The sequence below is a fragment of the Homo sapiens genome, chromosome 11 (assembly GCF_000001405.40).
Source record: "Homo sapiens chromosome 11, GRCh38.p14 Primary Assembly".
In the NCBI taxonomy this organism is placed as follows: Eukaryota; Metazoa; Chordata; class Mammalia; order Primates; family Hominidae; genus Homo; species Homo sapiens.
In genome coordinates this window covers 110,209,125-110,226,510 of record NC_000011.10, presented here as the reverse complement: position 1 = coordinate 110,226,510, position 17,386 = coordinate 110,209,125, and the positions used below count along the sequence as shown (strand labels likewise).

The 17,386-nt window shown below is 41.0% G+C and overlaps 1 protein-coding gene across 8 annotated transcripts in view, besides 1 other annotated feature; it reads left to right on the top strand.

The window, feature by feature from the left end:
• RDX (radixin) overlaps positions 1-17,386 on the top strand; it is a 121,693-nt gene that overhangs the window by 70,104 nt on the left and 34,203 nt on the right. The window lies entirely within an intron of this gene.
• Positions 9,290-9,490: a silencer, noted in NCBI's record as "peak1465 fragment used in MPRA reporter construct". NCBI's record gives its function as "represses an SCP1 promoter by STARR-seq MPRAs in K562 erythroleukemia cells {active_cell/tissue: K562}" and the evidence as "EXISTENCE:reporter gene assay evidence [ECO:0000049][PMID:32103011]".

The following is a 17,386-nucleotide window of genomic DNA, read 5'->3' as shown; positions in this document are numbered from 1 at the left end:
CTGTACCCATTAAATGGTAATGCCCCATTCCCCCTCCTCCCCAGTCCTTGGTGACCACTGTTCTACTTTCTGTCTCTATAAATTTGATGTTTCTCAGTACCTCATAAAAGTGAACTCATACAATATTTGTCCTTTCGTGTCTGGTTTATTTCACTTAGCATGTTTGCAAGGTTCATTTATTTTGTGGTATGTATCAGAATTTTATTCCTTTTTAAGGCTAAGCAATATTCCATTGTATGCATATACCATATTTTATCCATTTATCTGTTATTGATGGACGCTTAAATTACCGCTATCATTTGACTACTCTGAATATTGCTGCTTTGAACATTGGTGTACAAATATCTTAGAGTCCCTGCTTTCAGTTCTTTGGGGTACATACCCAGAAATGGAATTGTTTGGTCATATGTTAATTCTGTGTTTAATTTTTTTTTTTTTTTTTTTGAGATGGAGTTTTGCTCTTGTTGCCCAGGCTGGAGTGCAGTGATGCGATTTTGGCTCACTGCAACCTGTGCCTCCTGGGTTCAAGCGATTGTCCTGCCTCAGCCTTCCGAGTAGCTAGGATTACAGGCATGCATCACCATGCCCTGCTAATTTTGTATTTTTTTCTTCTTCTTTTTTTTTTTAGTAGAGACAGGATTTCTCCATGTTGGTTAGGCTGGTCTTGAACTCCTAACCTCAGGTGATCTGCCCGCCTTGGCCTCCCAAAGTGCTGGGATTACAGGCGTCAGCCATCGCACCTGGCCCTGTGTTTAATATTTTGAGGAATTGTCGTAATATTTTCCACAGCAGCAGCACCATTTTATATTCACATAGCGGTGCACAAGGTTCTAATTTTGCCACATCCTCACTAACAATTGTTATTTTCTGGGTTTTTTGTTTGTTTGCTTATTTGCTTGCTTGCTTGATTTCGATGATAGCCATCCTAATGGTGAAGCAGTACCTCATTGTGGTTTTGACTTGCATTTTCCTTTGATACATTTCTCAAATCATAAAAGAAGTTAGACTTTTTTCATGTGTTTATTGGCCATTTATATATCATTTTTGGAGAAATGTCTATTCAAGTTCTGCCCATTTTTAAAATTGTTTATTTTTCTGTTGTAGGAATTCTTTATATTTGGGATTCAAAATATTAATCCATTATCCCAGATTTGGAATATTCCTTTTCGGATATGAGTTCCAAATCTTTTTTCCCATTGTGAATTGCCTTTTTGCCCTTGATATAGTGTAGTTTTCTTTGATGCACAAAAGTTTTTAATTTTGATGAAGTCCAATTTTGTTGTTGTTGCCTGTGCTTTTGGTGTTTGTGTTTTTTTGAAGAGGAAAAATAGTTTTTAATGAAGAAGGTGTTACAAAAAGGCACGGCAGAAGAGAGAATACGTATATGGTTAGTCTCTAGACTGTAGAAATGAAAGTAAATAGATAGAAAATGTGAGCCAGTGTGCATTGACTGTAGGATGATAAAGCTGGAGTGGTTTGGGCCCAGGAATTTATGGAGCCTTGAATCCTATGTTTAGATGTTTTAATTTGATTTGAGGACAACTGGTAGCTTTGGGAAGGCACAGCTACAGAAGGGAACAATAACTAAACCTTGCTTGAAAAAGAAAACTCATGTTGTGATGTAAAGTATACTAGAAAGTGCAGAGGAGATATCATAATAGAAGAGCTATGTCTACTGTAGTTAGCCTAAGAAAGGCCGTGGCCATGGAATGAATTTAAAGGAAATTCTGATAAAGGAAATGTCTAAGTGTAATTTGCTCTCATGTTTGCTATATTGTTCATGTTTGTGGTAATGTATTTTCTTCTGAACTTATTTTCCAGCCGACCTCTTTTGAGACACTTAAAAGCTCAGTTTCTTTTCTTTTATCCATGACTTTTTGGGAATGGGTTCTTTAGTGGCACAATAGAAGTAGAAATTAAAGACATGCAAGAACAAATGGATTTGGTTCTGGGTTCTAATTCCAAGTCTTATGCTCTCGTACTCTAGCTTTTATAACTGATTTTATAGTTCTGAATCAGATTGTCCTTTTTCAGAGCATTTCTCTGGATTCAGATTATGGACACTTCCATTCTAGATCCATTATCTTCACAAAAATGTATGCCTAACCGAGGCTTAATATCTGTGTATGTTTGAATTATTAATACTGGTTTATAGTTGAAAACTATTAACCTCAGAATAATGCTTATAACAATAGTTTATCAGACTTCTTTTTGCTCTCAGATGACCGTCATAATGTACTGGCTTTTAGAAGAAATTCGAAGGGTTTTGTTTTTTTGTTTTTTTTTTTTAATATATATATATAAACAGTTTGGGGTTAGAAAAATAACTCTTTCAGCTCATTATGACAGGATTATGTTCACCAAAACATAACTCAGAGATTATCTCAGAATATACAGGCACAATTATTTCCTGGCTGTGACAACTCTAAACAACTCACTTTGGAAATTTCTTTAGATTTCTTTCTTTTCTTTTTTTTTGTTTTTTGAGATGGAGTTTCACTCTTGTTGCCCAGGCTGGAGTGCAATGGCGCTATCTCGGCTCACCACAACCTCGGCCTCCTGGGTTCAAGCAATTCTCATGCCTGGCTGATTTTTCTATTAGTAGAGATGGGGTTTCTCCATTCTCCATGTTGGTCAGGCTGGTCTCAAATTCCTGACCTCAGGTGATCTGCCCACCTCGGCCTCCGAAAGTGCTGGGATTACAGGCGTGAGCCACTGCTCCCAGCCTAGATTTTTTAAAAGTCAAAAACTGTAGTTGATTATGCTCATCAATTTAGATTTTGCTAGAGGTACCCAAATGACATCTTAGATTTTTTTTTCTTTCTTACTTTTGATTGTTTCTCTCAGACAATTCCTAATACAATCTAGTTCTCAATTTTTAGGCCATAAAGGTTTTCAAATACAGGTAGATAAAATCTTTTGATAGAATCTAAGTTACAGGTAGATGGTTTCTTCTCAGGAACTTTATTTTATTTATTTTTTTGAGACAGAGTCTTTCTCTGTTGCCCAGACTGGAGTGCAGTGGTGCGATTTTGGTGCACTGCAACTTTCACCTCTCGGTTCAAGCGATTCTCCTGCCTTAGCTTCCCAAGTAGCTGGGACTAAGGGTGTGTGCCACCATGCCTGGCTAATTTTTTTGTTTTTTATTATTATTTTTTGAGATGGAGTCTCGCTCTGTCGCCCAGGCTGGAGTGCAGTGGCGCAATCTCCGCTCACTGCAAGCTCCACCTCCCGGGTTCACGCCATTCTTCTGCCTCAGCCTCCCTGAGCAGCTGGGACCACAGGCGCCCACCACCACGCCTGGCTAATTTTTTGTATTTTTAGTAGAGACGGGGTTTCACCATGCTGGCCAGGCTGGTTTTGACCTCCTGACCTCAAGTGATTGGTCCCCCTCGGCCTCTCAAAGTTCTGGGATTACAGGTGTGAGCCACCGTGCCCAGCCTAAAATTTGTGTATTTTTAAAGCATTTGCTGTTGAAGGACATATAATCGTTCATTGTATGTAAAAGTAAATAATAGTTTACTTTTTAATCCCATTAATATTTGCAAATGTACTTGATAGTAGCTCACTTGGGTTTCTTAAAACCTTTAGGTTGGTTAAACTGCTTGTCATTTTTCAAGAAATATTAACATCTTTTAAAAGTAGTCGTTTTTGTTGATAGGTACAATATAAATCCCTGTCCATTCATTCATTCATTCATTCATTTATTTGAGTTGGGAGTCTGGCTCTGTCGCCCAGGCTGGATGGAGTGCAGTGGAGCGATCTCGGCTCACTGCAACCTCCACCTCCCGGGTTCACGCCATTCTCATGCCTCAGCCTCCCAAGTAGCTGGGACTACAGGCGTCCGCCACCATGCCTGGCTAAGTTTTTGTATTTTTAGTAGAGACGAGGTTTTACCGTGTTAGCCGGGATGGTCTCGATTTCCTGACCTTATGATCCACCTGCCTTGGCCTCCCAAAGTGCTGGGATTACAGGTGTCAGCCACCATGCCCGGTCCATTTAGTAATTTATATGCATTCTTAAAATAAGCTGAGATAATACTTCCATTTTGTAAAATGTTCGTACCAGACAATATAAGACCTGGAATTAGAATCCAGAACCTAATCCTCTGGATATAGTTTAATGTACTTTTAAGGATATTTAAAATGAATTTGGGGGGCATAAGCTGTATAAAAGGCTTTGTATGAAATGTATCCTTTGGAAAAGTAGGTTTGCATCTTTACAGGAGGTTAAGGTATGTAAATTTTTGGAATGTTTTCAAGCATTGGGAAGACTGTGCGAGTAAGTATGTCTTCTAGATAACTAGTGAGATGTATACAGATAGGAAAATGTTGTCTGCCACCTCTTATTTTTCAACCATTATGCTTTAGCTCTTAAAAATTAGATATTTAAAATATTTTTGGTTTAATAGTACTATTAAAGGAATGCTGAATTAGGAGAAAAGAAGGCATGATGTTTATTCCCTTTTCCATGAAATAAGACATATATAGACATAATATACATTTGCATTCAGAATCATTTAATCAGTGATTTTCAGAGCAATTGCTGTTTGTGCACTGTTGGAATTATGGGAGATAGATGAATAGATGAGACTTTGCAACTCTGCCAAGAAAATTGTGGTTAATCGGGGAGTTGAGTCCTGGACTCAAATTGAGGTATAGAAAGTATGGTAGTTAAGTGCCAGAAGAAAAACTGAGATAAAATGTGCAGGAGATACAGAAATGAGAGGCCACTTAGTTCAACTTTAGGTCACTTTGATTCAGTGTTTATTCATGTGATATTTCTTGATGAAGCTAAGGAAATGTTCTTTGATTTTAGAGCTTAGGTTTTAGATATTGTTCTTGTGCCTATAAACTTTGATCTTCGTGTGTGTGTGTGTGTGTGTGTGTGTGTGTGTGTGTGTGTGTGTTTTGGAGACAGGGTCTTGCTCTGTTGCCCAGGCTGGAGAACAGTGGTGCACTCTTGGCTCACTGCAGCTTCCACCTCCTGGGTTCAAGCGATCCTTCTGCCTCAGCCACCTGAATAGCTGGGAGCACAGGCATGTGCCACCACACCTGGCTAATTTTTGTATTTTTAGTAGAGATGGGGTTTCACCATGTTGGCCAGCCTGGTCTCAAACTTCTGGCCTCAAGTGATCTGCCCACCTCAGCCTCCCAAAGTGCTGGGATTACAGGCATGAGCTACCACACCCAGCCTGATCTTAGTTCTTAAATGATTTTCTTGCACCACAAGTATTTTGGGGGGGGTACAGCCTAGGATTTGTCTCAAAAGTACTAATGATAGTTCATGTTAATAACATAGAAGAAACATCAGTCTTAGTAATTTGTGATTTCCCTCTCCCCATTCCTTTTCCCCAAGAGTCACATTACGTTCTTCATTTGTGTACCAGAGAGATTCAGAAGGGCTTAGCCTGTAATGGTCACCATCTTGCCATTGCTGTTTTAGCCAGTCGCTGCCACTGAGGTCTGATCCTGACACCTGTCTCTGCATGGTTTTTCTAGGCATGCTTAGAAACTGTCAGGAGTCAAAATATAGACTCTGTAGCCTATGGTTATCCCCAAATTAGGGGTATAGGGATCCTGTACCAAATTTCCCTGCTTTTTCAACAAACTTTTTTTTTTTTTTTTTTTTTACAGAGGCTGTTTAGATCCAGGTTTTATCAGTTCACAGCACATTAGATACATAGTCTGACAGGCATTAAGAGAATCTCTGGGGCCAGGCGTGGTGGCTCACGCCTGTAATCCCAGCACTTTGGGAGGCCAAGGTGGGTGGATCACCTGAGGTCAGGAGTTCGAGACCAGCCTGGCCAACATGGTGGAACCCTGCTCTACTAAAAATACAAAAATTAGCCAAATGTGGTGGCAGCTGCTTATAATCCCAGCTACTCAGGAGGCTGAGGCAGGAGAATCGCTTGAACCCAGGAGGTGGAGGTTGCAGTGAGCCGAGTGCAGTTTGGGTGACAAGAGCAAAACTCTGTCTCAAAAAAAATAAGAGAAATCTTTGGGATAGCTGTGAGGCACCATGATGTTGAGGTAATTGCATGGGTTTTAGATTCCCACCTCGGGTTTGAATCTTGGCCTGGCCACTTCTGAGACCTTGGGAATCCACTTGGCCATTTGAGCCTGAGTTGTCTCATCAAACAGAAGTAACACTATTAATCTTGTGAGTGTTGATTGTAATAATAAACATGAAATACTTTGTTTACAGCCTTGGCATATTGGAAATGTTAATAAATAGTAACTTCTGTCATTTTAGTTTTCATCCTTTTGTATTATGAATATTCATATTTGTAGCCAAGTCCTTTGGGTTCCATTTTTTAATATGTTTTGTTTACCTTTTAAGGATTCTAGTTATGATTCTCTTAGAAGGTATCACTCCCCATGTTTGTTGAGTGTGTGCCAGGCCTATACAAAGCATATGGAGATAAGAAAGACATGCTCCTAAGCAGTAAATAGTTTATGGTTTTCTCCCGGTACACAAAATACATAATTTATATGTGTTTGTGTGTTATGAATAAGTGAGGTTCCTTCCTCAACCCCTTCATATTATAGTGTGCCAAGTCTCAGTCCTTCTGTCTACATTTGGATCTCTTAGTGACCTTATCCAGTGTCATTGCTTTAAATACCACCTGTAGACTGAAAAACTTAAATCTCTAACCAAATTCTCCCCTGAACTTCAGATGTATATATTTAACTCTCTACATAACATTTCCAGTTTGATATCTAATAAGCATCTCAAACTTATGTTAAACTCAAGATCTTCCCTCCTTAAACTTGCTCCTGCCTCAGTCTTCCCCTTCTCAGTTGATGAATGGTAAGTCCCTTCTTCCAGCTAATTAGGCAAAACCTTGACCACATCTATGACTCTCTCATAATCTCCATCCAGTCCAATCATAATTCTGTTGGCCCAGCATTCAAGATACATAATGTATCCAGAATGTGACCACCTCATCCTCCACAGCCATCAGTGTTCCACCCACAGGATTGCCTGGATGATTGCAAAAGACTTCCATTCTGTTTTCTTGATTTCCTGTTTGCCATTTTACAGTCTTTTAAGATCTTACAACAGGTAAGTCAGACCATGTCACTTGTGCTCAAAATCCTTCGGAGGTTTCCCATCTCTGAGTAAAAGCCATGTTCTTTTCAGCGGTCATTTGCAGCCTAATCTATTCTGGTCCCTGCCGAAGCTCTTGGGCCTCCTCTGCTGATTTCCTCTTCTCTTGTTAAATTGAAGTCACACTGGCTTCCTTGTTATTCTTTAAAGCAGCCAGCTGGTCCAACTCCTCTTACTCAGCTTGGAAGACACTTTCCCAGATATTGTTATGATTCACTCCCTTGCCACCTCCAGGAATTTGCTTAAATGCCACCTCAATGAGGCCGCCTTTTACAACCCTATTTAAAATTGTACCTTCCTCAAGTATCTGGTACCCATTTCTTGCCTTTATTTTTCTCTGTAGCACTTACCATCTAGCATACTATATATTTACCTATTTGTATTGTATCTATCTCACCCCACTAGAATGTAAGCTCCATGAGGGCAGGAATTTTACTGTTGTGTACACTGGTATATGCCCAGGGCCTAGAGCAGTGCCTGGAATGCCATAGATGCTCCTATTTAATAAACGAATGGATAGATGAGCTCTGAGAGCTCAGAAGGAAGGCACCTGATCTTACTGCAGAGCTCCAGGGAAGGCTTCCTGTGGGAGATGATCCCTAAGCCAAGTCTTTCAGGATGAGTTACTCTTAATCGAGGAGGCAAAGATAGGAAAGTTTCTGGAAAGAAGTAACTGCATATGCAAATATATCGAGTCACAGAAGGATGTGGAGTGTGTGCTGGGACTGCCCATTTGTATTGAAAACGTAAAGTTTGGGATTCAGAAGGTAGTACCGTGAAATACTAGAAAATCATGAGGGAGGGCAGGTTTGGGTGTGCCTGTGACATTTCTTTTTGGACAATTTGAGTTTGGAATGCTGATGGAATGTCAGATGAAATTTCCCAAGGGGAAAGTGTAAGGAAAGAATTGGTGGGTTTAGTATAGGACCTTGGAGAGTGCCAACATGAAGTACTGCCAAAGCAAGAGAGGACCCCACAGATGTGTAGGACAGAAAGGTGACTGCATGTGACCACCAGTGCCACATGGGGAAAAAAATCTATTACGATGTTTAAAATGTAAACTGGTTTCAGCAACAAGAACATCATTGAAAAGAGCAATTTCTTTGAGTTAGAGTAGTTGTCACTTAACTGTGTGTCTTCTGCAAAGTGTTTTCCCCAAATCTACACATAATTCTTATGCTCCAAGAATAACAAGAACAAGAAAATGCTGTCTCTAACAGTGTCCTCTGTCAGCTCCATATGTCTAAATCTGACACGTTGGCATGAGCCCCACTCCATACCCCTGCTCAAGTCACTGAGATTATGCCTAGTAAAGTGAAAATCTGTTCCCGTATTTGCCATCTATAGTAAATAGGCTCCACGAAGCACTTGAGTGATGTCATCCATTCAAATAATGTTATTCATTCATTAAACATTTATTAGATGCCTCAAGTTAGGCTCTGAGGATTCATAAATAATTTAATACATCATCATAAATAATTTAAAACATCTAGAGGAAGAAACAGAAGAGTTAAATAATTATGACAATGAGACGAGTAACAAGAGGCACTCAGAGCTAGGTAGTGACCAACCTCTTGCTAACAGTGACAAGGTTATAGAGGTTATTGTAATTGTCAGCAGTCGCCTCAGGAACAAGTACCATCTCCCTACCCCTTGCCTTTAGGGCCGAGGGCGTATCTCAGTGGATGTTCAGTGCAGTAGTGGTCTTGATGCTGATTCACAGAGGAGTTTCAGAATCTATCATGCTTTAGGAGTAATTTCCAGCACTAGAGCCAACGGTATCCGCTGTATGAGTAGAGGGTGAGGAGGTCTGGTAGCATGTCTTGGGCTGTCGGTTAGGAAAGTCTGTTTATATCTTGCGCTGCTCTCCTCAGGAGAGGTTAAGATGTACTTTGTGTACGTTCTGGAGCTGCTAAGGACTTCTGGTGGGAGGAGTCCTTCCATTTATTCATCCAAATATGTTAGCGCTTGACAGGCGCTGTGTACTAGTCATTCAGAATATCATAGTAGCCAAGTCCCTGCCCTAATGAACTGACTTCCAGTAGGAAAACACAAACACTGGAAAACAGAATAATTAATACAAATTGTATTACTAGGTTGAATCATGTGCAGTTACTGATATTTAACCATCCCCGACCTGTAAAAACAGCAATTTTATATCCACTTACAACTATGAAATAAGGGACTGAGTTAGAAGAAAATGTAATCAAGGACAGGAGGTAAGAAAAAGTCTCTGAGGAAGTGGCATGTAAGTTGCTACCTGAAGGAGGAAAAGGCTAGCTCCTCTTGTTCCTCTGTTTAAATCAAGATGGTAGATGCAAATGCCAGACAGATGAAAAGAGTGCACTGGGCCTGATGGGGACTGTGTCTCGTCAGGAGTCTCCTGCTCTGTCCAAAGAGTGAGGAAGAGGGAGGGCATCAGCCCTTTACATATGGGGTAGGTAGGCCCTGTGTTGCTATACCTTGTGATCTTCCAAGATAAGCTAGAAAATGGCTTTTAGAGGAAAAACATTCAAATATACTATATTTGAGTTGAAATGTAATTTTTATGTGAAGTCTTTCAGATTATACATGTCAGCTATTTCAGTGCAGTGGTTTACACCTGTAATCCCAGCAATTTGGGAGGCTGAGGTGGGAGGATTGCTTGAGTCCAGGAGCTCAAGACCAGCCTGGGCAACATAGCAAGATCTCAACTCTACAAAAATTAAAAATAAAATTAGGGCCCAGTGTGGTGGCTCACACTTGTGATCCCAGCACTTTGGGAGGCTGAGGTGAGAGGATCACTTGACGCCAGGAATGTGAGACCAGTCTGGGCGACATAGTGAGACCTCCTCTCTATTTAAAAAAAAAAAAAAAGAAAAAAAATTGGTGTGGTAGCGCACCTGTAGTCTCAGCTACTTGGGAGGCTGAGGTGGGAGGATCACTTGAGCCCAGGAGGTTGAGGCTGCAGTAAGCTGTGTTTGCGCCACTGCACTCCAGCCTGAGCAACAGAGCAAGACCCTGTTTCAAAAAAAAAAAAATTAGAAAAAGTTTGGCAAGCCAAACTAGATACACCTGCTTGCCAGAAGTAGCCCACTGGACACCAATTTACAGCCTTGCTTTAAAATTCCAGGTAGAAGGAACAACATATGCAAATACTTTGAGGCAAGAAAGAGCTTCACTTGTTCATGGAAAAGACAGAAAGGCGGTATGTCCAGAGCCAGGTGACCCCGGAGGAGAGTGATGTGTGAGAGGAAGTTGAGGAACAGCCAGATCACAGGAGCTTCCTAAGCCATGGTGAGAAGCCTACAAGATCTAGGCCAATGTCCACTGAGCAGTTTGGCCCTGTAGGACAAAAACATTGCTACCAGAATCGAGCTAAGCAAAGGTAAATTCAAGAGAAGTTTGAGGAACAGAGGTGCAGGGATGGAAGTGTCAGTGTAGTTTGTATTCTTCTCAACAAACTGTACCCTGGGGCTAAATGGCTGCATCTGCCTGAGCAAGGGGCACTATTCCCTTATCCACACAAAGACATCATAAAGGCTGCAGGTGTCCTTGAAGGTATTCCATTTTATAGCTAGGTAACCTGCCGAAGGACAACCACAGTGGCAAACTCCGCATTTGGATTTTGGTTTTCTTAGAAGCGAAAGCCCTTATCTTTTTTATTACAAAATGTGACCTTTCCAGTTTAAAGCCAACTGAGACATGTTTACTTGCTCTTGGAAGGATTATTTTGTCTGCATAACTCAAAGTGAATGTATTGATTGACTTATAGGCCAAAGAAGACTGCTTTAAATCTTAAGTTCGACTTGAATACAGAGTGGTAGTGACCTGATCAAACCCACCAGATTGAAGACCAACCTCCTTGAACCACTGCATGTGGGCTTGTAACTCTAGTCTGTCCAGTTTAGTGCTCCTGTTTTCAAGATGAGGTCAATATAGCTTAAAGATTTAAAGTTGAAATATATGATTTACTCTTGTAGGGGAGGGAAAGCATTATTATTATTTTATTTATTTATTTATTTATTTATTTATTTATTTATTTATTTATTTTTTGAGATGGAGTCTCGCTCTGTTGCCCAGGCTGGAGTTCAGTGGCACGATCTCAGCTCACTGCAACCTCTGCCTCCCGGGTTCATGCCATTCTCCTGCCTCAGCCTCCTGAGTAGCTGGGACTACAGGCGCCCACCCATCACGCCCGGCCAATGTTTTGTATTTTTTAAGTAGAGGCAGGGTTTCACCATGTTAGCCAGGATTGTCTCGATCTCCTGACCTCGTGATCCGCCCACCTCGGCCTTCCAAAGTGCTGGGATCACAGGCATAAGCCACTGCACCCAGCCGAAAGCATTATATATATATATATATATATTTTTTTTTTTTTTGTTAGGTCTCCTAAATGTTTTTTTTATTTTTTTCATTTTTTTTTTATTATACTTTAAGTTTTAGGGTACAAGTGCACATTGTGCAGGTTAGTTACATATGTATACATGTGCCATGCTGGTGCGCTGCACCCACTAACTTGTCATCTAGCATTAGGTATATCTCCCGATGCTATCCCTGCCCCCTCCCCCCACCCCACAACAGTCCCCAGAGTGTGATATTCCCCTTCCTGTGTCCATGTGATCTCATTGTTCAATTCCCACCTATGAGTGAGAATATGTGGTGTTTGGTTTTTTGTTCTTGCGATAGTTTACTGAGAATGATGATTTCCAATTTCATCCATGTCCCTACAAAGGACATGAACTCATCATTTTTTATGGCTGCATAGTATTCCATGGTGTATATGTGCCACATTTTCTTAATCCAGTCTATCATTGTTGGACATTTGGGTTGGTTCCAAGTCTTTGCTATTGTGAATAATGCTGCAATAAACATACGTGTGCATGTGTCTTTATAGCAGCATGATTTATAGTCCTTTGGGTATATACCCAGTAATGGGATGGCTGGGTCAAATGGTATTTCCAATTCTAGATCCCTGAGGAATCGCCACACTGACTTCCACAATGGTTGAACTAGTTTACAGTCCCACCAACAGTGTAAAAGTGTTCCTATTTCTCCACATCCTCTCCAGCACCTGTTGTTTCCTGACTTTTTAATGATTGCCATTCTAACTGGTGTGAGATGGTATCTCATTGTGGTTTTGATTTGCATTTCTCTGATGGCCAGTGATGATGAGCATTTTTTCATGTGTTTTTTGGCTGCATAAATGTCTTCTTTTGAGAAGTGTCTGTTCACGTCCTTCTCCCACTTTTTGATGGGGTTGTTTGTTTTTTTCTTGTAAATTTGTTTGAGTTCATTGTAGATTCTGGATATTAGCCCTTTGTCAGATGAGTAGGTTGCGAAAATTTTCTCCCATTTTGTAGGTTGCCTGTTCACTCTGATGGTAGTTTCTTTTGCTGTGCAGAAGCTCTTTAGTTTAATTAGATCCCATTTGTCAATTTTGTCTTTTGTTGCCATTGCTTTTGGTGTTTTAGACATGAAGTCCTTGCCCATGCCTATGTCCTGAATGGTAATGCCTAGGTTTTCTTCTAGAGTTTTTATGGTTTTAGGTCTAACGTTTAAGTCTTTAATCCATCTTGAATTGATTTTTGTATAAGGTGTAAGGAAGGGATCCAGTTTCAGCTTTCTACATATGGCTAGCCAGTTTTCCCAGCACCATTTATTAAATAGGGAATCCTTTCCCCATTGCTTGTTTTTCTCAGGTTTGTCAAAGATCAGATAGTTGTAGATATGCGGCGTTATTTCTGAGGGCTCTGTTCTGTTCCATTGATCTATATCTCTGTTTTGGTACCAGTACCATGCTGTTTTGGTTACTGTAGCCTTGTAGTATAGTTTGAAGTCAGGTAGTGTGATGCCTCCAGCTTTGTTCTTTTGGCTTAGGATTGACTTGGCGATGCGGGCTCTTTTTTGGTTCCATATGAACTTTAAAGTAGTTTTTTCCAATTCTGTGAAGAAAGTCATTGGTAGCTTGATGGGGATGGCATTGAATCTGTAAATTACCTTGGGCAGTATGGCCATTTTCACAATATTGATTCTTCCTACCCATGAGCATGGAATGTTCTTCCATTTGTTTGTATCCTCTTTTATTTCCTTGAGCAGTGGTTTGTAGTTCTCCTTGAAGAGGTCCTTCACATCCCTTGTAAGTTGGATTCCTAGGTATTTTATTTTCTTTGAAGCAATTGTGAATGGGAGTTCACTCATGATTTGGCTCTCTGTTTGTCTGTTGTTGGTGTATAAGAATGCTTGTGATTTTTGTACTACATTGATTTTGTATCCTGAGACTTTGCTGAAGTTGCTTATCAGCTTAAGGAGATTTGGGGCTGAGACAATGGGGTTTTCTAGATATACAATCATGTTGTCTGCAAACAGGGACAATTTGACTTCCTCTTTTCCTAATTGAATACCCTTTATTTCCTTCTCCTGCCTAATTGCCCTGGCCAGAACTTCCAACACTATGTTGAATAGGAGTGGTGAGAGAGGGCATCCCTGTCTTGTGCCAGTTTTCAAAGGGAATGCTTCCAGTTTTTGCCCATTCAGTATGATATTGGCTGTGGGTTTGTCATAGATAGCTCTTATTATTTTGAAATACATCCCATCAATACCTAATTTATTGAGAGTTTTTAGCATGAAGCGTTGTTGAATTTTGTCAAAGGCTTTTTCTGCATCTATTGAGATAATCATGTGGTTTTTGTCTTTGGCTCTGTTTATATGCTGGATTACATTTATTGATTTGCGTATATTGAACCAGCTTTGCATCCCAGGGATGAAGCCCACTTGATCATGGTGGATAAGCTTTTTGATGTGCTGCTGGATTCGTTTTGCCAGTATTTTATTGAGGATTTTTGCATCAATGTTCATCAAGGATATTGGTCTAAAATTCTCTTTTTTGGTTGTGTCTCTGCCCGGCTTTGGTATCAGAATGATGCTGGCCTCATAAAATGAGTTAGGGAGGATTCCCTCTTTTTCTATTGATTGGAATAGTTTCAGAAGGAATGGTACCAGTTCCTCCTTGTACCTCTGGTAGAATTCGGCTGTGAATCCATCTGGTCCTGGACTCTTTTTGGTTGGTAAGCTATTGATTATTGCCACAATTTCAGCTCCTGTTATTGGTCTATTCAGAGATTCAACTTCTTCCTGGTTTAGTCTTGGGAGAATGTATGTGTCCAGGAATTTATCCATTTCTTCCAGATTTTCTATTTTATTTGCATAGAGGTGTTTGTAGTATTCTCTGATGGTAGTTTGTATTTCTGTGGGATCGGTGGTGATATCCCCTTTATCATTTTTTATTGCGTCTATTTGATTCTTCTCTCTTTTTTTCTTTATTAGTCTTGCTAGCGGTCTATCAATTTTGTTGATCCTTTCAAAAAACCAGCTCCTGGATTCATTAATTTTTTGAAGGGTTTTTTGTGTCTCTATTTCCTTCAGTTCTGCTCTGATTTTAGTTATTTCTTGCCTTCTGCTAGCTTTTGAATGTGTTTGCTCTTGCTTTTCTAGTTGTTTTAATTGTGATGTTAGGGTGTCAATTTTGGATCTTTCCTGCTTTCTCTTGTGGGCATTTAGTGCTATAAATTTCCCTCTACACACTGCTTTGAATGCGTCTCACAGATTCTGGTATGTTGTGTCTTTGTTCTCGTTGGTTTCAAAGAACATCTTTATTTCTGCCTTCATTTCGTTATGTACCCAGTAGTCATTCAGGAGCAGGTTGTTCAGTTTCCATGTAGTTGAGTGGTTTTGAGTGAGATTCTTAATCCTGAGTTCTAGTTTGATTGCACTGTGGTCTGAGAGATAGTTTGTTATAATTTCTGTTCTTTTACATTTGCTGAGGAGAGCTTTACTTCCCAGTATGTGGTCAATTTTGGAATAGGTGTGGTGTGGTGCTGAAAAAAAAGTATATTCTGTTGATTTGGGGTGGAGAGTTCTGTAGATGTCTATTAGGTCTGCTTGGTGCAGAGCTGAGTTCAATTCCTGGGTATCCTTGTTGACTTTCTGTCTCGTTGATCTGTCTAATGTTGACAGTGGGGTGTTAAAGTCTCCCATTATTAATGTGTGGGAGTCTAAGTCTCTTTGTAGGTCACTCACGACTTGCTTTATGAATCTTGGTGCTCCTGTATTGGGTGCATATATATTTAGGATAGTTAGCTCTTCTTGCTGAATTGATCCCTTTACTATTATGTAATGGCCTTGTCTCTTTTGATCTTTGTTGGTTTAAAGTCTGTTTTATCAGAGACTAGGATTGCAACCCCTGCCTTTTTTTGTTTTCCATTGGCTTGGTAGATCTTCATCCTTTTATTTTGAGCCTATGTGTGTCTCTGCACATGAGTTGGGTTTCCTGGATACAGCACACTGATGGGTCTTGACTCTTTATCCAATTTGCCAGTCTGTGTCTTTTAATTGGATCATTTAGTCCATTTACATTTAAAGTGAATATTGTTATGTGTGAATTTGATCCTGTCATTATGATGTTAGCTGGTTATTTTGCTCGTTAGTTGATGCAGTTTCTTCCTAGTGTCTCGATGGTCTTTACATTTTGGCATGATTTTGCAATGGCTGGTACTGGTTGTTCCTTTCCATGTTTAGTGCTTCCTTCAGGAGCTCTTGTAAGGCAGGCCTGGTGGTGACAAAATCTCTCAGCATTTGCTTGTCCGTAAAGTATTTTATTTCTCCTTCACTTATGAAGCTTAATTTGGCTGGATATGAAATTCTGGGTTGAAAATTCTTTTCTTTAAGAATGTTGAATATTGGCCCCCACTCTCTTCTGGCTTGTAGGGTTTCTGCCGAGAGATCCGCTGTTAGTCTGATGGGCTTCCCTTTGAGGGTAACCCGACCTTTCTCTCTGGCTGCCCTTAACATTTTTTCCTTCATTTCAGCTTTGGTGAATCTGACAATTATGTGTCTTGGAGTTGCTCTTCTCGAGGAGTATCTTTGTGGTGTTCTCTGTATTTCCTGAATCTGAATGTTGGCCTGCCTTGCTAGATTGGGGAAGTTCTCCTGGATAATATCCTGCAGAGTGTTTTCCAACTTGGTTCCATTCTCCCCATCACTTTCAGGTACACCAATCAGATGTAGATTTGGTCTTTTCACATAGTCCCATATTTCTTGGAGGCTTTGCTCATTTCTTTTTATTCTTTTTTTCTCTAAACTTCCCTTCTCGCTTCATTTCATTCATTTCATCTTCCATGGCTGATACCCTTTCTTCCAGTTGATTGCATCGGCTCCTGAGGCTTCTGCATTCTTCACGTAGTTCTCGAGCCTTGGTTTTCAGCTCCATCAGCTCCTTTAAGCACTTCTCTGTATTGGTTATTCTAGTTATACATTCTTCTAAATTTTTTTCAAAGTTTTCAACTTCTTTGCCTTTGGTTTGAATGTCCTCCCGTAGCTCAGAGTAATTTGATCGTCTGAAGCCTTCTTCTCTCAGCTCGTCAAAGTCATTCTCCATCCAGCTTTGTTCCGTTGCTGGTGAGGAACTGCGTTCCTTTGGAGGAGGAGAGGCACTCTGCTTTTTAGAGTTTCCAGTTTTTCTGTTCTGTTTTTTCCCCATCTTTGCGGTTTTATCTACTTTTGGTCTTTGATGATGGTGATGTACAGATGGGTTTTTGGTGTGGATGTCCTTTCTGTTTGTTAGTTTTCCTTCTAACAGAGAGGACCCTCAGCTGCAGGTCTGTTGGAGTACCCTGCTGTGTGAGGTGTCAGTGTGCCCCTGCTGGGGGGTGCCTCCCAGTTAGGCTGCTCGGGGGTCAGGGGTCAGGGACCCACTTGAGGAGGCAGTCTGCCCGTTCTCAGATCTCCAGCTGCGTGCTGGGAGAACCACTGCTCTCTTCAAAGCTGTCAGACAGGGACATTTAAGTCTGCAGAGGTTACTGCTGTCTTTTTGTTTGTCTGTGCCCTGCCCCCAGGGTGCTGCCTACAGAGGCAGGCAGTCCTCCTTGAGCTGTGGTGGGCTCCACCCAGTTCGAGCTTCCCGGCTGCTTTGTTTACCTAATCAAGCCTGGGCAATGGCGGGCGCCCCTCCCCCAGCCTCGCTGCCGCCTTGCAGTTTGATCTCAGACTGCTATGCTAGCAATCAGCGAGACTCCGTGGGCGTAGGACCCTCCGAGCCAGGTGCCGGATATAATCTCGTGGTGCGCCGTTTTTTAAGCCCGTCGGAAAAGCGCAGTATTCGGGTGGGAGTGACCCGATTTTCCAGGTGCCGTCCGTCACCCCTTTCTTTGACTCAGAAAGGGAACTCCCTGACCTCTTGGGCTTCCCAAGTGAGGCAATGCCTCGCCCTGCTTCAGCTCGCGCACGGTGCGCGCAT